Below are 21167 nucleotides of genomic sequence, written 5' to 3'. Positions count from 1 at the left end.
CCAACTGCCACATTTTGGTTTCTAATACCATTTTCCATAAAAGGAATCAAAGCCCTTTGGAGAAATGGCTGATTCTAACATTGGGCCAGGAAATATGCAACATGGATATACAATAAGCCTAAAGCATCTTGTGATGCCAGAAATTAAGGAAGTTCACCAAATAAAAAAGGACAAAAATCGATACTGATGGAGGTATATCAAAGAAACAGAGACACAGGGACCAGCTGAAAAAGTTCCTAGTGGCCAAAGCTGAAAGAATTTGAGCAACAAAATAAGTAGTATTGGATTATAACTTGAAGTATCAAATAAATATCTACAGGCCCATACTGATAATACAAATAAATAATGAAAATGTGTTAGTAAATAAATGGAGGAGAAGAGAAAAATATCCCGTGCAGAAGAACTGGAAATAATTCATGTAGCTACTCTGCCCTCAAGGAGGTGGAGCATAGCTCCCCACTCCTTGTGGGTTGTGAATAATGACTTCCTTCCAAAGAGTACAGTAAGAAAACAGGAGAAGAAAGGAGTAACTTTGTGGAGAAACCTGACAAACACTACCTTGAACACGTGATCAAGGTCAAAATCATCATTGACAAGTCATGTTGGTAGAATGCACCCTTAATATGAAGTAATGAAAATGGTACTTTTGTCTGTGGTTTTCCCTCAAAAAGATATAATCCCTCTCTAACCATGAGAAAAGCACCAAGCAAATCCCAGTGAAGGGACATTCTACACAATACCCAACCAGTAAGCCTCAAAATTGTTATTGTCTTAGTCCATTAGGGCTGCTGGAACAAAATACCACAGATTGGGTGGCTTAGAAACAACAAATACTTGATTTCTCCCAGTTCTGGGGCCTGAGAAGTACAAGATCCGGGTACTGGTAGATTGGGTGCCTACTGAGGGTCCACTTCTGGGATCATAGAAGATAGTCTTGTGCTGAAACCTCATGTGTGAGAAGGGGTGAGGGAGCTCTCTAGAGTCTCTTTTATAAAGTCACTAATTTCAGTCATGAGAGCTCTGTCCTCATGACCTAATAACTTTTCAAAGGCCCTACTTCCAAATACCAACACAATTGGAGTTAGGATTTCAACATAAGAATTTGAGAAGAAAAATATTCAGTCTATAGGAATCATGAAGTATAATGAAAGTCTGAGAAATTCTCACAGCAAAGATGAGCCTAAGAACACATAACATGTCTAAATGGAATGTGGTATCCTGGAGAAGAAAAAGGACATTAGAGAAAAACTAAGGAAATCTGAATAAAGCATAGATTTTGGTTGACGATACTGTATCAAAATTGATTTATTATTATAAGAAATGTTTTATAATAATGTAGATGTTAATTATAGGGTAAAGTAGGTAGAGTGTATGGGAACTCTGTACTATTTTTATAAATTTTCTGTATATGTAAAACTTCTAAAAAATAGGTTTGTTTTAAATCAGGAGAATACAAACAGTGAAATATAAACTGAACAAAAATTTAAAGGAAAAATGACCTGATTTATTTAATAAATAAATTACAAAGGGAAAAAAGGCATGGTGGCAGAATCTATACATTAAGAGATTGAGAAAACATATCAATTGAAGCAGTTGGTTTATTTGATTCCTAATTTGTCCAAACAAACTTAGTGATCATTGTTTGAGGTGCTAATAGTATGGTGGCTGTTTTGTTAGGGTTCTTTATCTGTTAGAGATACATACTAAAACATTTGTGAATGACATGATAAAAATAATTCAATGAAGGGGCAGAGGCTGAAGTTATAGTAAAATTGGCCATGAATTGATAATTTTTGAAGCTGGGTGATGATGGATCTATTAAGGACTTATGTTATTCTGCTTACTTTTACTTTTATATAGCTTGATGTTTCCATAGTAAAAAGTTAAAAATAAAAAGATCTTTGGCATCTCATGAAGTAAAGGTAAAAGTTGTCATTTACACTTGAATAAAACTTTGCATTTCACAAAATTCTTTCACAGAATCCCTTTGGTCAAGGAGAGGGAGAGAGAGGTAAGGGTCTGGTCTTACTTTTTAAGCAGGAAGAAGACTACAAACCACCATCTACCATCTGCCAGGTAATTTTAAACCAGTCCACTTAATCCCCATCAGATTTTCCAGATGCTTTGAATGCAGAGCTAAGGTTGAGAACCACTGATTTAGACAAATATACTATGGGAGAAGGGGAAGGAGGTTCCACCAGCAGAGAGCAACCAGCTAGAGCCATTTGGGGCTTATCACAAAAGACTTCTTGTCAGGGAAATTCACCTATTGAGAGACATTTTGGTTGTTTCCAATTCTGGGCCATTGAAAAGAATGCTAATAAGCAAAGCCCCTCTTCTGCTATGAAAGTAACAGTGGGCAGATATTCCCTCTCTGGCCCTTGGGTAACTGAAAGGAGGCTTATAACCAAAGCACAGCCAGTGAGATGCTCCTGCTCAGGATGTTGATTTTGGAGAAGTGACACAAGGTATATGATCAGAGTTAAGGGTTCAGTAGGCCAGTAATGAGTGCCAGTGGTGTTGGTTCCAGTAGCACAATGGTAAGTATCCAGTTTAGAAGGCTCGGGTGGCAGCATCCTAAGCCCACTATCCCTAGCGAGATGCTGGCTGTGCCTCACCAACCCTCATCCCTGCCTCATCCTTGTTCTCCAGCTTCCCATTAAAACTGTGAGCTTCCTAATACCTTTCCAATAAATTAAATTTTGTCATAAATATACCATAATCCATTTCTATTGTTTCTTTCTTTTTTTTTCTTTTTTTTTTTGAGGCAGAGTCTTGCTCTGTCACCCAGGCTGGAGTGCAATGGCACAATCTTGGCTCATGGCAGCCTCTACTTCCCAGGTTCAAGCAATTCTCCTGCCTCAGCCTCCTGACTAGCTGGAATTACAGGTGCATGCCACCATGCCCGGCTAATTTTTGTGTTTTTAGTAGAGATGGGGTTTTGCCATGTTGGCCAGGATGGTCTCGAACTCCGGACCTCAAGTGATCCGGCTGCCTTGGCCTCTCAAAGTGCTAAGATGACAGGCGTGAGACACCGCACCCAATGATTTCTATTGTTTCTATCCAAGAACATTGATGAGTATATGAGGACAAAAATACTAATCAAAAAGTCACATACAAATGAATGATTTGAATTGGCAATGAGTGACTTGAAGAAAAGGTACATGGGTGAAATTAATCTGGTCTGGAAGGTCAAAGTATAAAGAATGCTTCCCTTAGGAAATGACACTAAAACTGAGACAGACTCAAAGTTAATGAGGTAAAACGTGGAGGGGTGGAGCGGTGGGAGGGTGATGGGTAGTAACAAGGGGAAAGAAGAGTGGGAAATGCAGCGCCAGTAGCCTGAGATCAAAATGGCTTTCTTAGCTCTGGTTGGTTTGGAGGGTAAGAAACTAAAGAGGAGGTGATTGAAATGCAGGTGACACATCTCAATGGAATATTATGATCCTTGTGGAGACTGCATAGTACCATGGAGCAAGTATTATGGTTGAAGATAGTAGACCTGTAGTTCATACACCAAAGAATTAAGGAATCACGCATGCCTATTGGAACAAAAGGGTAGGTAGGTAGAATACCTGGCCTTGTTTTTCCCCCTGCGGCGGACATCAGGTGTTTGTGCTATATACTGCCTCCTCCCTTAGAGAACTGCTGCTTCCCCAAATCTTGATCTGGTGGGATTGCCAACCACAGCTCTCCACTCCCCTAGCCACAATGAGGGCAGAGGATCCAGGCCTGACCAGTCAGACCACATATTCCAATCAGCACAGGGCAATCCATGTGAGCACATGGCTCAGACTCAGGCAGGCAGGCTCTGCTCTGATTTTGTTCATTTCAGGCTGGAGAAGAGATCTTTCCTCAACTCCACAAATTACCCCAGTATTCTTCCTGGGATGGATCCTTGCCCACCCATGAATCCTTTTTTGTTTTGCTTTTTGATTTATTAGGGCTACTTTCTGTATACATATAAGGAAAAAATTTTTTACTTTTTAACTGTTGTTTTATGACCATAGAATACATACATATTGTATAAGATTCAAACAATAAGAAAACACATAAAGAAGACCATTTCAGAGTTTCTATCCCTGTCACATATTTCTAGTTTTACTAAATGAGGTAGTCTAGAACAATGTGATCTATGATTTCTGAGAGGGACTAGAAGATTCGAGAAGATTTGCTGAGGTTTGATAAGGTCCAATATATGGCTAATTTGGTAAATGCTTCCTGAGCCCGTAAAGATATATTCTCTGAAGTTCCAGAGTGCAATATTTATCTGTTAGGCAAAGTATATCAATTACATTTTTGGCCTTTGTGCTGGGTCTATTTGGAGTATAGAGATAATAGTATCCCTATATCATAAGGTTGTCCTAAGGACTAAATATGTTAATACATGAAAATAACTTATAATAGTGCCTGCCACACAGTAAATATCCCCCAAATGTTAATTGTTTTCATCATCATCGTCATTTTTATTCTCTTTAGATCCAGATATGCATACTTAGAAGCTGACATTTTGGCCAGGTACGGTGGCTTACGCCGGTAATCCCAGCACTTTGGGAGGCTGAGGCAGGCGGATCATGAGGTCGGGAGATCGAGACCATCCTGGCTAACACGGTGAAACCCTGTTTCTACTAAAAATACAAAAAAATTAGCCAGGTGCGGTGGTGGGTGCCTGTGGTCCCAGCTACTTGGGAGACTGAGGCAGGAGAATCGCTTGAACCTGGGAGGCAGAGGTTGCAGTGAGCGGAGATCGCACCACTGCACTCCAGCTAGGCAACAGAGCGAGATTCCATCTCAAAAAAAAAAAAAAAAAGCTGACATTTTATCTGTCAAACACCAAAGGAAGTGTGTTTGCACTCCTCAATCTATTTTATTAATTTCATCCTACATTTGCAGATCATGCTATATATAATCTGAAGTTGGTGGTAATTATATGATCATTGTAGATAATCTTCTAGTCAATTAAAGAATTCTAATGCATTTGACATTCAATTTTGATATTAATATTATGATGATTTCTTACCTTTGACTGTAATTCCCTGACATTCTTTCCCATTCTTTCATATTCAGCAGAATCTATTGCTTTGATATGTCCCTTAAAGTAGTAAAATTTCACAAAGACTCTTATCATCTTCAAAAACTAAATCATGCTACTCATCCCCTCAGCATAATTAGCACATTTTTATTCTTCTTCCCCATACTCCCTATTATCTAATTTTCATGGAATGACCTAGAATTGTGGGGCTATCATGTTAATCAAATTATTTTTTATATTACATACATTTCCATGTATTGGTAACATATTGATAGCCATAACACAGTAACTTAGCATTAAATTTGTACATAATAGGACCCGCTGCCTCACAACCAGCTCACAGATTTCTTACACAATTTTCCTGATCAGTTAGTTACTTTGATTCATTTTGTGCATTCCTGAAAAACACCTGTATGGTTTTCCAGTAAATCCAAGCATACCCATGCTTTTGCACATCAATTTAGATAGACATGCAGTTTGTGCTGTAGTAAGTGGCCTAATTCTCCTACCTTACAAATGTTTTTCAATGAAAAACATTCTGAAGTTGTTTTTTAGTTTTTATCTTTTTGTTCCCCTGAACATAGTGAGTACTGCCCACTTCTGGTGTAGTATCTTTTGAGTTTAGGAAACTTTTCTTCTTGTTTCCTCTAAAATGTTGTTCGTGTTACATGTGTTCTGTTAATATTTTTCTTCCATCACTTAACAAGACTCTGGATTCTCATTGTCTGATCTCTATATCTACGATATTTTCTTTAGCCATTTTCCTTGTTTTGCACTTTTTCTCTGGATTCTAGGGGATTTTCTTAAGCCTGGTCCCCACATCAGAGGTAGATTTTCCTGGGGCTGATGATGCTCTTGCTGTTTCTAGGGTAACGTTAAGTTCTCTAACAGAGAGATCCCTCTCCTTAAATCCTTTCTTGGTGTTGCCAGCTGTTCCTGCATGTCCTATCTTTTCTTTCACCTCATTCCAGAGTCTGTGCTCTCCTTAAATGCCCTGAGCAAATACCGCTTCTACTCCTTGGAATGGATCTTCCAGAGCATGGTCTTTATCACGTGCATCGGGTGCTCACATACTCTTCCATTTTGTAGTATTTCTGGAACAGACCTATTAATATTACTTGCTGTTTACTTAATCAGAGGCAATTATTCTGCTCTTTTGCTCTCAAACCATTGGGGTCATTCACCTGTTCTCCCCTCCCTGTTTACCTGGCTTTTCCCTACATCCACAGCCTGGAATTACAGGATGTTGTAATAACAGGATGCTGGATAACAGGATGTTGTAAACCCATTGGTTCCGTTTTTCAGATACCTGAAGAAGGTGAGAGGACTGGGACTGTGGGTGAGAGTCCTGTTTGGGATTTGTTTATCCAGGAGCTTTTTATACTTGTTGAAAACCCCACCCAGGGGTTGTTATCCTGAATGAAAGGAGGGTATCCTCTGCCACAGCTGAGAATGCCCATGGTGAGTTCCTAGGTGGGGAGACAGGGGTGCAGCTCAGATTTAAATCAGGATAGCAGCACTTTCGTGAAAAGCCTAGGCACACAGACTCCCTTCATCAGGGAGCTGTTGGTGTGGAGCTTCCTTTTCCTGTTTCGTGTCCTTCCCAAAGTCCCACTGCTATTCTTGCTTTTGGAGTGTGAGTGCTGCCTGTGAGAAGACTTCTTCTCTGCCCAGCTGGCCCCTGCAGACTGCCTCCAGCCCTAAGGGGAGCATGAACTGCCTCATTTGCCCAAGTCAGAAGGGAAGCGGGGAAGCAGGGAGAAAGCACATGGTTTCTCTCTGCTGGGGCCTTAAGTCCATGAGGGAGTTTCCCATTTTACATTTTTCCTCTGCCCTGCCCATACTCCTCTTCCTCAGAACTGAACATGTTTTAAATAGAATCCCCCAACCTGAGTTCTTCTGCACTTCTCTGTCTAAGGGCCAAGGTCCAGCATTTTTACCCTGGCTCAAATTCTGATGCCATCCAATGATTTGCTTACAGACTAAATTTTTCCCCCATTTTTGACTCCCCCACACCCGTTTGTGCTTCCATTAGAGATAAAGGATTTCAAAACATTTCTGTGAAATAAACTGAAACTGAAACATGGCTTCCCTCTTCTCTTCCCCTCCCTTTGTATGTTTCACTGGCCGGCTCTGAGCGTCCAGGTAACTGGGGAAGGAGGAAGTCACTGTTGCCTCAAATGTTCCAGCCGAGAAGTAGCAGCTTTGCCATATGCTGGGTGACTTTGTCTCAGGACAGTGTGGGGCCAAAGTGTTTATTCTGCACCAGCAGCTAGCAGACTCAAGGGAAAAGTGCAATGCTGAGAAGTGGGAACATCTTGCTAATTACAATGAGAAAGGCAGAAATATGTGTTTGCGGGGAGGCAGCCGGGCCACTCACCTTCCAAGAAACAAAACGTGCTATGAAGCAGGAAGCACACACGGCATCCTGTACTTTCATATGGCTGGATGCATCTCTTCAAGCTTATCCCAAGTGCTGCCTCTCTAACCTCACCACACGAATCACAGCAACATTGCAGATAAGGAAATGGAGGTCAAGGGCTTGGCTCAAAGTCACCACAGCAGTTAGTGGGGGTCAAAGATTGCAATGAGCATTTCTCTTCTTCCCGCCCCAGATGATTGGACTTAACAAGGCCAAGGAAAGCTTAAGTGGGTCCTGATCCTTGGCTTTCCTTAAACCTCAGCAGGGTGGGAATGAGTAAGAGGAGAAGTATAGAGTGTGAGCTTCTATCGCCCACTGCCTGCCTACCCAGGGACTGTAAGGTCTAGGTGGTGAGATGAACTCAAAACTGACAACAATTAAACACTTTTATGAAAGCTACCTGAGAAGAAATCTACTGACTTGGAAGTTACGTTCAAGGGATCATACAGGAAAGTCATGGGCTCCTCAGCCATCTCCAGACACCTAAATAAAAAACAAATTTAATAAAAGGGACTGATCACTGGGATACTCAAGCAGAGTAAGACTGAGTGCTGTAAAGGAACCTTCCAAATGGTATTAACGTTGACCTGGATTACATCCAGAATGAGTTCTGGGTCCAGAATTGCCTAGGACCGGATCCTCAGGCAAGGGATCTATTAGCAGTGTCATCAATGGTGAGTGACTCTGATCTCCCAGTCTTCAGGGTCCCTTGCAGAGATAACTGAGAGCCAAGTGCACAAAGCACAGATGAAGCTGCTGCAGGCTGGGACCCCGGGAGCCACTGGAATGTCCATTTCCTGCAGCCTGCCTATACTGAGGTTTAATCTAGATAACGTTTGACAAAGGGGTCATGGTGACATTAAGGAGAAGAAGGTAATTTACCCCACCAGGAGTCTATCTATCTACCTAATCTGTACAGCTGTTCCCCCACCAGCCACTCCCATTTTCCCAAGACCAAGGGCTGCCAGTGGGAACCACATTGCTCTGCATTTAGTTTCCAGACCACTGCTTACCCTCCCTTCCTCAAAAGGCCCTTGCCTGGAAGGCACTATCCTGTCATGCTTGTTTTCCCCTCTGGCAGGTGCCACTGGCCTTGTGGTTCACCAAGGACACTGGCTTCTAGGTCACACTATCCTCCCCAACATCTGCCCTCTAGTCTGGCTAACCCCAGATCTCACCTCTTAAGCCTCTTCCTCTGGCTCTGGCCAGCAACTCCAGGTCATACCCTTGACTGCCTTTTCCTGAGATTGCTCCACCTCTCAATTTCCAAAGCACTCCTGTCTGGCTCAAATACACCTCCCCACCCAGCCCCTCACCATGCTGGAGTTTCTACCTCGTCAAGACCTCTAATTTCCTAATCCCTCCCTAGTCACCTCCAGTTTTCAATTTCCATCTTGGTCAGATTAATCCTCAGACCACACATTTCATCACTACAGTTTCTCCTGTGCATGTCATCTGAACTGCCCCATCTTTCTCTCACCTCCTATACTCCCCTGGCAAAACCCCAACACTGCAGTAAGCATCTCCATCCCAGATCCTGAATCCTAATTGGGGGAAGACAGGTGCATGCAGATCCCCACTCAACACACACACACCTGAGTGCCCAGCATCCTACTCTAAACTGAGCATCTCAGAGCTCAGCCTTGCTCTGCCCTTCTGCTGTTTCCTTAACTTGCTTTTTCACACCAAAGTGAATGTTTACTTCATACCTTCTGAGAACATGCTCCACCCACAGCTAGCTGATAGTCTCACTTCATTTCACCAAGAAGAGATTCAAATTCTATCATCTTCCCATCAATTTAGCCATCATAATCCTCTATGCGTGCCTCATTCCTGTTTTCCTTGAGCCCTGTTACGCTGCAGGCCTGTCCCTCCTCCTACAAAGGTCCCATCCCTCCTTTTTTCTCATGGACGATGCCTCTTCAGGGGTCCTCCTCCTGATCACCCTCCCATCTGTTTCCTCTTGCCATCTTAACTGTTGCCATCAACATCCACATGCCCTGTCTCCCACCTTAAACACTCCCTGACCCGACAGCCCTCTCTAGTGATCACCCTAAGCCCCTTTAGGGCCAGCTTGTCCTACCTTCTGCTCCCTCATTTTCCATTCACTCAACCAATTGAGTCTGTCCTCTATGCCACCCTTTTTGAAATTGTTGCCATCACGGTCATCAAACCCTCATATTACTGAATTCAGTGTACAGTTCTGCCTCCGTTCTACCTAAACCCTCACAAGCACTCTGCATAGTCTACTTTCTAAAAGCAGCTTTCTCTCCTCCTCTTCTCCTTTTACATGCCCTGTCCCTCTGCCCAAACTCTGGGGGTTGGGCTTCCTCAGGGCCTTGTCCTGAGCACTCTTTTTCTCTCTTTATGGATCACCTCACCCAGTCTAAGTTTTTCTATCACCTTTATGCAGACAAATCACAAATTTGTCTTAACCTGCCCAGAATGTCTTCCTTGATCCTGTCTCTTTCAAAAGCTTATTCCCCCACCCACCAGGCTTTCCCTACATCCTCAATATCAACGCCTTAAGACACAAACATAAAAGTCATCTTTGAATCTTCTTTCTTCCTTACTCCCTTCCTCCCACAACCAGTCCATCAGTAGGTCTTGTCAATGCCACCACCAATATCTCACGCAATCACATCCTTTCTGCCCATCTCCACTGCCCCTCCCTGCTCCAGATCACCACCATCTGCCATGTAGCTATGTGGCAGCTCCCTCTGTCTCCTCCTTCCTCTACTAGCCCTTCCAGTCCGTGTTCCACACAACATCAGGAGTGACTTCCCCAAAGCATACTCCAAGCCCCTCACATGGCCTGTGAGGTCCTATCTCATCAGACTCCCACCTACATCTCCACCTTGATCTCCTCTTACTCTGGTGTGCCCACATGGCCTTTTCCATTTATAGACCATACTTTAGTAGGTTAAAGTTGACTACCAGTTATTTGCTAGTCCTCTGCCCTATTCCTCATCGCCCCCATCAAGAAATGGAGTCTAAAAAAATATTCCATGCAAGTGGAAACTAAAAGAGATTAAGGGAAATCTACATATCTATATGTAGATATAATTACTTCAAATAGACTTAAAGTCAAAAACTGAAAAGAGACAAAAGAAGATCTTTATATAACCAGAAAGAGGTCAATTCATTAAAAGGATATAACAATTATAAATACGTATGCACCCAACATCAGAGCACCTAAATATATAAAGCAAATATGAATAAATCTCAAGAGAGAGACAGACTGTAATACAATAATAGTAGAAGACTTTAATACCCCACTTTCAGCAATGGACAAATCATACAGAAAAAAAGTAAATAAAACATCAGACTTAACAAATTTAGTGATATTAAAATCATATCAAGTATATTTTCCAACCACAATGGCATAAAACTGGAAATCAATAACAGGAGGAATTTCAGAAAATTCACAAATACATGGAAATGAAACAACATGCTCCTGAACAATCAATGGGTCAAAGAAGATATTAAAAGGGAAATTAAAAATTACCTTAAGATAAATAAAAATGGGGACACAACATACCAAAACCTATGTGATGCAGCAAAATCAGGTCTAAGAGGGAAGTTTATGGGATTAAACACTAACATTGAAAAGAAAAATGACCTAAATAAATAACCTAAGAGTACACCTCAAGGAACTAGAACAAACTAAGAACAAACTAAGCCTAAAGAACAAACTAAGCCTAAAGTTAGAAAAAGAAAATAATAAAGATCAGAGTAGAAATGAATGAAATAGAGACTAGAAAAACAATAGGTCAATGAGACTAAGAAGTTGGCTTTTTGAAAAGATAAACAAAATTCACAAACCTTTATCAAGACTAAGAAAAAAGAGATGATTCAAATAAAATAAAGAGGAAACATCAGAACTGATACTACAGAAATGCAAAAGACCACCAGAGGCTACTGTAAACAAGTATATGCCAACAAATTGAATAACCTAGAAGAAACAGATAAATTCCTAGACACACATAATTCTACCAATACGGAATCATGAAGAAAAATAAAATCTAATCAGACCAATAACACGTAGATGCATTAATAAGAAATGCTTTCCCATAAAAGAAAAGCCTAGGACCTGATGGTTTCATTGCTGAATTCTACCAAAAATTTAAAGAACAATTCCTCTCAAATTCTTCAAAAAACTGAAGAAGAGTAAATACTTCCAAATTCATTTTATGAGGCCAGCATTACCCTGATGCTAAAGCCAAAGACACTACAGGAAAAGGAAACTATAGGTCAATATGCCTGATGAACACAGATGCAAAAATCTCAAACAAAAAATGCTAGCAAACTGAATTCAACAGCACACGAAAAGGATCAGTCACCCTGATCAAATGGGATTTATTCCTGGGATGCAAGGATAGACCTTGTCAACAAATGCAAATCAATGTGATTCATCCTATTAACAGAATGGATAAAAAACATGTAATCATCCCAATAGATACATCTGATAAAATTTAACATCCTTTCATGATAAAAACTCTCAACACATTAGGTATAGAAGAAATGTACCTCAGCATAATAAAGGCCATATATGACCCACACACAGCTGACATCATACTCAATGGTAAAAAGTTGAAAGCTTTTCCTCTAAGATTATAAATAAGAGAAGGATGCAACACAGTACTGGAAGTCCTACCCAGACTTGGTAGGTCTTCCAAGACCTTGAAAGCCAGGTGGGGTGGCTCATGCCTATAATCCCAGCACTCTGGGAGGCCAAGGTGGGTGGATCACCTGAGGTCAGAAGTTGGAGACCAGCCTGGCCAACATGGCAAAACCCCATCTCTAGTAAAAATACAAAAATTAGTTGGGCATGATGGTGCATGCCTGTAGTTCCAGCTACTCAGGAAGCTGAGGCAGGAGACTTGCTTGAACCTGGGAGGAGGTTACAGTGAGCCAAGATGGTGCCACTGCACTCAATCCTGGGCGACAAAGTGAGACTCTGTCTCAAAAAAAAAAAAAGGAATTGAAGAAGACACAAATAAATGGCCCAACAAATAAATGAAAACAAATCCCTTGTTAATGAACTGGAAGAATTTATGTTGTTAAAATGTCCATATTACTCAAAGCAATCTGCAGATTCAATGCAATCCCTATCAAAATTCCAATGACTTTTTTCAAAGAAATAGAAAAGCAATTCAAAGATTCATATGAAACTACAAAAAAACCTTGACTAGCCAAAAAATCTTAACCAAAACAACAAAGCTAGAGGTATCACATTGCTTGACTTCACAATATATCATAAAGCTATAGTAACCAAAACGGCATGGTACTGTCATAAAAACAGACACACAGACCAATGGAACAGAATAGAGATCTTGGAAATAAATCCACACATTTATGGTCAATTGATTTTCCACAGAGGGTAAGAATACACAATGAGGAAAAGATAATCCCTTCAATAAATGGTGTTGGGACAACTGCATATTTCTGTGCAGAAGAATAAAATTAGAACCTTATCTCATACCATATAAAAAATAAACTCAAAATAGATTAAAGACTTAAATGCAAGACCTGAAACTGTAAAGCTACAGAAAACAGGGGAAAAGCTCCATGACATTGGTCTGGACAATGATTTTTTTGGATAAGACTTCAAAAGCACAGGCAACAACAACAAGAATAGACAAATGGGATTATGTCAAACTAAAACTTTCTGCACAGCACAGGAAACAGTCAACACAGTAAAGGGACAATCTATAGAATGGGAAAAAATAACTTCAAATCACACAACTGATGAGAGGTTAATAGCCAAAATATATAAGGAACATGAACAACTCAATAGCAAGAAAACACATAACCCAATTAAAAATGAGGCAGATGACCTGAATAGACATTTCTCAAAGAAAGGCAAATAGGTGTATGAAAAAATGCTCAACATCACTAATTATTAGGGAAATGAAAATCAAAACCACTATGGAATATCACCCCATATCTGTTAGAATGGCTATGATTAAAAAGATGAAAGGTAAGTATTAGAGAAAATATGAAAAGGGAATGCTTACACAATATTGGTGGAAATGTACATTAGTATGGTCATCATGGAAAACAGCATGGAGATATTTAAAAATAAAGAACTACTATATGGTCCAGGAATCCCATTACAGGGTATTTATTCAAAGTAATTGAAATTAGGATCTGGAGAGATAGCTGCACTCCCATGTTCACTGCAACACTATTCACAATAGCCAAGATGTGGAATCAACCTAAGTGTCCATCAACAGATAAACAGATAAAGAAAATGTGGTATATATACACAATGGAATACTATTTGGCCTTAAAATAGAAGAAAATTCTGTCATTTGTGACAACATGGATTAACCTAGATGACATGTTAAATGAAATAAGCCAGGTGAAAATACCACATGATTTCACTTATATATGGCATCTAAAAAAGTTAAACACATAGAAACAGAGAGTAAAATAATGGTTACTAGGGGTTGGGGGTAGGGAACAGTAATTGAGAAGATATTGATCGAAGAATATAAAACTTCAGTTAGGAGAAATAAGTTCAAAAGATCTGTTGCACAAATGGTGACTATAGTTAATAAACTGCATTAATTTGTGAAAATTGCTAAGAGTAAATTTTGTGTTCTTACCATGAAAGATGATAAATATGTGAGGTAATGCATATGTTAATTAGCTCAATTTAGCCACGCCACAATGTATACATATTTGAAAGCATCATTTTGTACACAGTAAACATAGGCAATTTTTATTAGTCAATGTTAGAAAATATTTTTTAAAAAACTATGTAGTTTACAAAGCTTAAAGTATTTGCTATCTGGCTTTTAAGAAAATGTTTGCCCATCCCTTCCCTGGAGTCTTGGAGAGCAAGGATGGCTCTCTATACCTTTTATAGTACCTGGCATTTAGTAGGTACATATTAAATATCTGTTGAAAGAAGTGAAGAGCCTCAAGGCCCAGCTCTAACTCCTCTTTAATGGGAGGCTCTTTTTTTGGAAGGGCAGGGCTAGACAGGTATGGGTCAGTTCTCTTCTGATAGTCCCAGAGTCTACAGCGAACCAAAGATGAAAGCTCTGAAGGAGAGACACCAGTACTCACAGGTCTCATGTCCATGCTCCGTCCAAGGGGACCTAGCTACTTCCTTACCCCTTCTCAGTTTCAGGAGAAGAAAAGTGTTGGAGATTGGTTAAGACCCTTTCCCACCAATTGCTGTGGTGAACCCTCCAGCAAGGGCATGGCTACTTTCAGGAAAGCAAAGAGGGTCCTCTGCTTCTCTATCCTTCCCAAAAAACATGGGCTGGGGTAGACCCTAAAGAGCAGGCATGGAGGACTGTGGGAAGGACTCAGCCTTGCTGTAGAAGCTCTCTGCAAAGCAAGAGGCAGGGTATGGTAACAAATGCCAATTCCTGGTTAAATTGGACTTGACAGGTGAAAGATGTCAGGCTGTGTGTGGTCACATTGTACATATGCATGCCTGGGGGTTACCAGGCTGTATGCAAATATACAAGGAAGAGGTAGGCTCTGAGAACCTGCCAGGGCCCCTGGGATGAGCTGTGGATTTTTGCCCCTGATCCCATGAATTGGAGGGTCCTCTGCTCAAAACATATGATATACATGTCTTCTTTTAATTTGGTATCGTCTTTAGGTCCGGAAGAGAAAACATTCCCTTCCTTGTACCAAAGTCCTCAGCTCAGGTTCCCTGAGTCCACAGAGGGTTGCCTCAGACGAACTGGGATCTGAAGTCCTGAGAAAGCACCAGCTTCCACCACTCCCAAGTCCTGGAGGGTATCCAGTAACTGCTCCCAGGCAGCACCAATAAAGCAATTCTCCAGAAAGATGGGCAGGCCTCCCACACCATCATGCAGGGTACAGGGGCACTCACACCAGGCCCAGCACCTGTAAAAGGAAGGAGACAGGAGACACTGGGACTCCAGGTAGCTCATGTCACTACCTCCATCCTCTCTTTAGCAGATCTTTCTAGAGCAGATGCCACAACTCTTAATACTCCAGCAGAAACAAGCCCAAGGCTCCTATCTAAAGGAGGCCCAGTGGGCTCAACCCTCTGCAGACAAATGACCCAAGACATGCTATCCAGCTCCATCAATGTTAATCCTTATGACTTCTGTCCCCTACACCTCTAGTGGCTCCTAACGCCAAAATTCATGCTTAGCCCTGCAACAATGGTTCTCAAAATGGGAAACCTAGACCAGCGTTATCAGCATCACTTGGGAACTTTTGAAAAAAGCAATCTCAGATTTCTGAACCCCTGCCCTCCCAGAACTTGGGAGTGGTGGAAGCTGGGGCTTTCTCACCCACAACCAGCGTTCTGGGAGTAGAATCTAGTCATTTTTGTTTTTATAAGCCTCAGAGATGATTCTGATACTTGACAAAATTTGAGAACTACCTCCATATACAATCTGTCTCCCTGGCCTTAAGTATTAGGGCCTTAAGTATTAGGGCCATATCTTCTTCCTAAGAGAAACAGAGGCCCAACAATAAGGGACTAGGGTAGATGCCTGGCCATTTTCACATTATCAATAGAGAGCAGCAGAGAGATGTAGATATGTGTGTTCTAGAAAAATCTCTCCAGAGCCCAGTAAAGGGCGAGGTGGGTGGAAATCTTCCCAGGAAGCCTAGGTTGGCAGTACCATTCAATAAGAGAAGACCAAGATCCCAACTCCACCAAGAAAATGGGGAAGAGGGCAAGTTCTGACAGACGGGGACCTCAATCCAAAAAGAGTTGCTGAGGCAAAGGAAGACATGGAAGGAAAAGGAATAAGATATGGGGCAGGGTCCCAGACTGGCCCCACCTCCAGCCCGTGGTCCTTGGCCCCTGTTGCGCTGGCCTCCACAGCCAACAGCTGCTCGAGCGTCAGAGATTTGGCATAGAAGTGGGCCACAACACGTGGCCTTGATCCGGCGTGAGAGCTGCGGTAGTCAGGGCGCTCCACGCGGAAGGCGGCCGCCGCCTCGCCCAGCAGTTCCAGCAGACCACGGTTCAGCCCGTCCTCCAGGCTGCTGTCTTGCGAGTCCACGAATCCGCCAGGGAAGCCCAGGCGCCCATCAAAGCGCATCTGCATCTGAGAGAGGAGGAAGCTGGGATTGGCAGGGACACCCGAGAGTAGCGCCGCAAGGAAGGTGCAAGGCCAGAGCGGAGAGTGGCCGGGCGCGCGCCCTCCTCACCAGTATGGCGTAGCGCAGAGGGAGGCGGCCAGAGAGAATTCCAGGGTCCGGCGCGTGCAGGAGCGCATAGCAGGCATGCCTCTAGCCTGGCCCCAGCGCCAGGGCCTCGGCCAGCTCCAGCCTGCGGGCCCTGGCCATGGCCCGACACTGCTCTTCCGCTGTTCCGAAGGCCTACGAGGGCACAAGGGCGAATCTCACCTCGGACCAATCCGAGCGTGGGCGGTGCCGCAAGGCACCAGCCCTGCAGGGATAAGGGGGAGGAACCTGGGCGCCTTAGGTCAGGGCGCAGCGACCGGTGCCGGAGGCAGCCAATCAGGGCGGGGCTTGCAGACCGGACTGATGTCCAGAGCCCAGGAACCTTAGGGAAACCATAAGCAACCTCTGGGTTGGGCTTGCGGCGGGGCGGGGCGGGGCTGAAGGTGTGGCAGCGCCCTGAACCTGGAGAAAGGCTAGTACATAAACGCCTACGTCAGAATCTGGAGTCAGCTGGAGTGTGCCAGCAGGTAAGGGAGAGCTGGGGCGCTCACTTGAGTGCTGGGAGCCAAAGAAGTAATAACTACCTTTGGTTGGGTGTGGTGGTACACAAAGCACAAGGCCTGGGTGGGGGTTAGGAGGAAATGAGGCAGGGTTGGCCTCAGACACCAAGGCCTATCCTAGGGAAATGGGGATGGAGAGGCGCCATGGTCTGACAACTGTCTTGAGTGGTGAAACTGTGGGGACTTGGTAACTGAGTGAATGGGGAAGAGGGAGCGCTGGGCTAGTGTTGGTTCCGAGTTTCCTGGATGTGGTGTCATTTTCTGAGAGGGGGAGAGTAGGAGAAGGGTGAGCAGTGATAAGTGTAGTTCTAAGGAATTGGGGCGGCCACAGGCAGTGGGCAGCTTATCGCGGGGATCTGACGCACAGGAAGTGGCACATGGAGAAGTCACAGGGCAGTGAGATTTTCAGGGGAAGGGTGGGGGTGGAAGGAGCTGTGAGTGAAATCCTGTGGCACAGGACTGGGAGTGAGGAGGGGTGAGAGATAGAAGAAGCCTCCTAGGCTTTCTAGTCTTTCCCTCAAACCCCCTCAGACCTCTGAGCTATGAAGGAGGGTGGGTTACCCTACCACAAGGGCAGAGGCCTACTCAGGGCCTGATGCTGAGATGCAGGATCCCTCACTCCAGGCCAGGCCTTCCCCACCGTGCAGAGCGCCCCTACACCAGGTGTCGATATTGATTATGCAATAGAAAGCAGGAGGCAGCTCCTTGAGGGGGGCTGGGCATAAACTCACAGCCTGTAAGTGACGGCATATGGTGGGAAAGAGTCCGGACCCACCCAGAAACAGGTTTGTGCCCTTAACAAGTCACTTAACTCTCTCAGATCCCAGCAGCTCATCTGTTAAGTGGAGATGATACCAACCTATTAGGGATGTTGAGATATGTAAAGCACTTAGAACAGTGCAAGGCAGAAAATAAATGTATCCATTCTTGGAGTCGAGGGTTGGGACACGCTGCTGTGTGTTATGTTAAAGACCCAGGAGTTGGAACTGAGCCACACTCATCAAGGCCCCAGTGTTTCAAGCAGGGATGAAAACTGTTAGGCATCATTTTTCCTAGCTTAGTCTTCTGAGTTGCAGGGTGGAGATGCCAAATACTAACATCAGATGGGCAGATCAAGGTGATAAAGCTGTAGGTGTGACACAATCCATGTTGGCCTGCTATCATTCTGGGGACTTGGAAATGGCCCTGGCTTCATGTTACACTCACCTTGCTCTAAAAGCGGATAGCAACTGCCAATTTCCGGGTTCCAGCCAGAGCAACTGAATCAGAATCTGTGGAGGTAATACAGGGACATGTGGCTTTTCAAAGATGTTTCAGGTAACTAATAGCCAAGGTGGAGAAGAGGTGATCTACCCCTCTCCCCAGCATTTCAAAGGTAACCTTCTCTCCTAGATTAGCTACTTTTAAGGATTTAGGGTTAAACATGCCCTTTCCAGATCTTCAGGCTGTTCTTTCTTTCCTGGTTGCTTGAAGAGACTTTTAAAGATGGACTCAACTATTTATAAGGCAACATGAAAATCTATAAAAGCCAAGGCAACAGCTATACAGGAATTAATGCTTTGGAGACCAGAGCTTTTTCTGGATGAAGAAAATGGAAGCCCATAAGAACCCCCAACTTTGCCATCCCTTTCAAATCCCTCTCTGCTTCTGCCTCACCTCCCCACCTCCGCCAACCATCCCCCATTCACTATCCTGAGGCAGAATGCCCAGGACTCAAGGCTGGAGGTAGAGGGCTGAGCAGTGTACCTAAAAAGCTGCTTCAAGTTCATGGCGGTACGTGGAATCAAAAATAGCTCTGTGGTCAGTCTGGGAGGATGCTAAGGAACCAATTCATTTTTAAAATAATGAGGAAAAGAATTAAACATTTATCATGCTTTTAAATTTTATTTATTTATTTATTTATTTGAGATGGAGTCTTGCTCTGTCACCCAGGCTGGAGTGCAGTGGCGCAATCTCGGCTCACTGCAACCTCTGCCTCCCAGCTTCAAGTGATTCTCATGCCTCAGCCTCCCTGAGTAGCTGGGCTTACAGGTGCCCACCATCACGCCCAGCTAATTTTTGTATTTTGAGTAGAGACAGGGTTTCGCTATGTTGGCCAGGTTGGTTTTGAACTCCTGACCTCATGTGATCTGTCCACCTTGGCCTCCCAAAGTGCTGGGATTACAGGTGTGAGCCACAGCGCCCAGCCCATCCTGCCTTTTTTATATGGGCTCTTCCTCAGGGCTACTAAATAGTTGATGAGAGGAAATTTTATAAGTATTCTAGCTAATCAAAGAAGAAGGAGCCAATCAAAATTTTACAATTTTTTTTAAACTTTAAAGAATTAATGGATCCTAGGGAATGATCATCAATGTTTGCTAAAATCATGAAAAGGCAACCAGTTACTGTGCACTTCATGATGGAAGAAGACATCACCTCCTATTAATTTTTCTTGCACAAAATTGAAGTTGAATCTCAACCTAAATACCAGTTATAAGAAATATAAAGGTGCCCCTTTTTAAAATATCAGGAAGAGACTAGAATGATCCATGTAATAGTGGATTCGAGTTGGAGACATCAGTATTAACTCATGTTTAACTTAATATAGCTACATATGTTTATATAGGGAAATATTTGTAGATATGTACACACCTCTTTTATAAAGTCACTAATCTAATTTGTGAGGCCCCTGCCCTCATGACCTAATCACCTCCCAAAGGCCCTACTTCCAAATGCCAATAAATTGGGAGTTAGGATTTCAACATATGAATTTAGGGGGAACAAAAATATTCAGTTGATAGCAATCATGAAATACAATGAAAGTCTGAGAAACTCTCACAACAAAGACTAGCCTAAGGACACATGACATGACTAACTGGATTAGATAAATCTGAATAAGGTATAGACTTTGTCTAATGATAATGTATCAAAATTGGTTCATTATTGCAAGAAATGTACCATAATAATGTAAGATGTTAATTACAGAGTAAATTAGGTGGAGTAATGGGAACTCTAGGTACTATCTCCACGCTTTTCCTGTAAATATAAAAAACTTTAAAAAATATATAGAGGAGGTCTCAGTATATTGCCCAAGCTGGTCTCCAACTCCTGACCTCGAGCTATCTTCCCACCTGCACTTCCTAAAATATTAGGATTACAGGCGTGAGCCACTGCACCTGGCCTGCAAATGTAAAACTTTTTTAAAAGTTTGTTTTTAAAACACATGAGGATGCAATCAGTAAATCCTAGACTGAAAGTTTACAAGAAAAATGACCTGGTTTCAGTAGTAAATGAATTACAAGGGAAAAAGAAATATGGTGGTAGACTCTATACATTAAAAGAGATTGAGGAGACATATCAATTGAAGCACCTGGGCTTTATTCTAATTTGAACAAACAAATTCAAATAGTGAGGGACAGGAGAATACTGATTGGATATTTTATATACAGGAATTATGGATAATTGAGATGTGATAGTATTGTGGCTATGTTTCTTAAAAGAGTTATCTTTTAGAGATACATATATTTAAATAAAGTTTTGCATTGTACAAAACTCTTTCAATGAGAGGATCCCCTTTGGTTCAGGAGAGGGAGAGAGGTAAGAGTGTAGTCTCACTTTTTAGGCAGGAAGAAACTGACAGCAAACATCTGCCATCTGACAGTTATTTTTAAACCATTCCACTTAATCCTCATGAAATTTTCCAGGTGCTTTGAATGCAGAGCCAAGGTTGAGAACTACTAATTTAGAAGACTATACCATGGTGGGAGTGGGGAGGAGATGCTACCAGCAGAGAGCTATCAGCTAGAGGCTGTAATTTTACCCAATTACTTCCTGAAAGTGCTAGATGCTGTTGCTTATTATTATTAAGCATTCACATAACCTAAAATCCCATTCAGGAGCCTTAAAGGAGGTGCATTTTCTAGAAGCTAACACTGTTTTTGGTTATTTGCAGGTATAGCATCAAAACTATCCACTGCTCTGTTATCCGGAGTTCATTAAGTAGATCCATTTCACACTATCAGGACAGAATTTT

At 42.5% G+C, this 21167-nt stretch overlaps 1 long non-coding RNA gene and 1 pseudogene across 3 annotated transcripts in view, besides 4 other annotated features; one reads left to right on the top strand and one right to left on the bottom strand.

Moving 5' to 3' along the window:
* NUDT16-DT (NUDT16 divergent transcript) overlaps nt 1-21167 on the top strand; it is a 56384-nt gene that overhangs the window by 2788 nt on the left and 32429 nt on the right. The window contains exon 2 of the long non-coding RNA NR_038976.1: nt 1981-2076. This is a non-coding gene — a long non-coding RNA (NUDT16 divergent transcript). The remainder of the gene's footprint in view (nt 1-1980; nt 2077-21167) is intronic.
* Nucleotides 13566-16843, bottom strand: NUDT16L2P (nudix hydrolase 16 like 2, pseudogene; annotated as a pseudogene). 2 transcript variants are annotated; one of them, NR_002949.2, is made up of 3 exons: nt 16620-16843; nt 16247-16516; nt 13566-15332 (listed from the first exon to the last, which is right to left on the bottom strand). The product of NR_002949.2 is annotated as a nudix hydrolase 16 like 2, pseudogene, transcript variant 2 (transcript). The 2 variants fall into 2 exon arrangements; NR_027766.1 differs by having other exon boundaries at nt 16247-16814.
* Nucleotides 16441-16490: an enhancer, noted in NCBI's record as "active region_20531". NCBI's record gives its function as "activates an Ori minimal core promoter by ATAC-STARR-seq in GM12878 lymphoblastoid cells {active_cell/tissue: GM12878}" and the evidence as "EXISTENCE:reporter gene assay evidence [ECO:0000049][PMID:35858748]".
* Nucleotides 16441-16997: a biological region, named in NCBI's record as "H3K27ac-H3K4me1 hESC enhancer GRCh37_chr3:131080535-131081079".
* Nucleotides 16453-16997: an enhancer, noted in NCBI's record as "H3K27ac-H3K4me1 hESC enhancer chr3:131080535-131081079 (GRCh37/hg19 assembly coordinates)". NCBI's record gives its function as "activates a minimal SCP1, AML or CMV promoter by ChIP-STARR-seq in primed H9 embryonic stem cells {active_cell/tissue: H9 hESC(primed)}" and the evidence as "EXISTENCE:reporter gene assay evidence [ECO:0000049][PMID:30033119]".
* Nucleotides 16511-16570: an enhancer, noted in NCBI's record as "active region_20530". NCBI's record gives its function as "activates an Ori minimal core promoter by ATAC-STARR-seq in GM12878 lymphoblastoid cells {active_cell/tissue: GM12878}" and the evidence as "EXISTENCE:reporter gene assay evidence [ECO:0000049][PMID:35858748]".

This window comes from Homo sapiens, chromosome 3, assembly GCF_000001405.40.
Source record: "Homo sapiens chromosome 3, GRCh38.p14 Primary Assembly".
Classification (NCBI taxonomy): domain Eukaryota; kingdom Metazoa; phylum Chordata; class Mammalia; order Primates; family Hominidae; genus Homo; species Homo sapiens.
The sequence above is the reverse complement of the archived record's forward strand: the minus strand, read 5'-3'. Positions and strand labels throughout refer to the sequence as shown.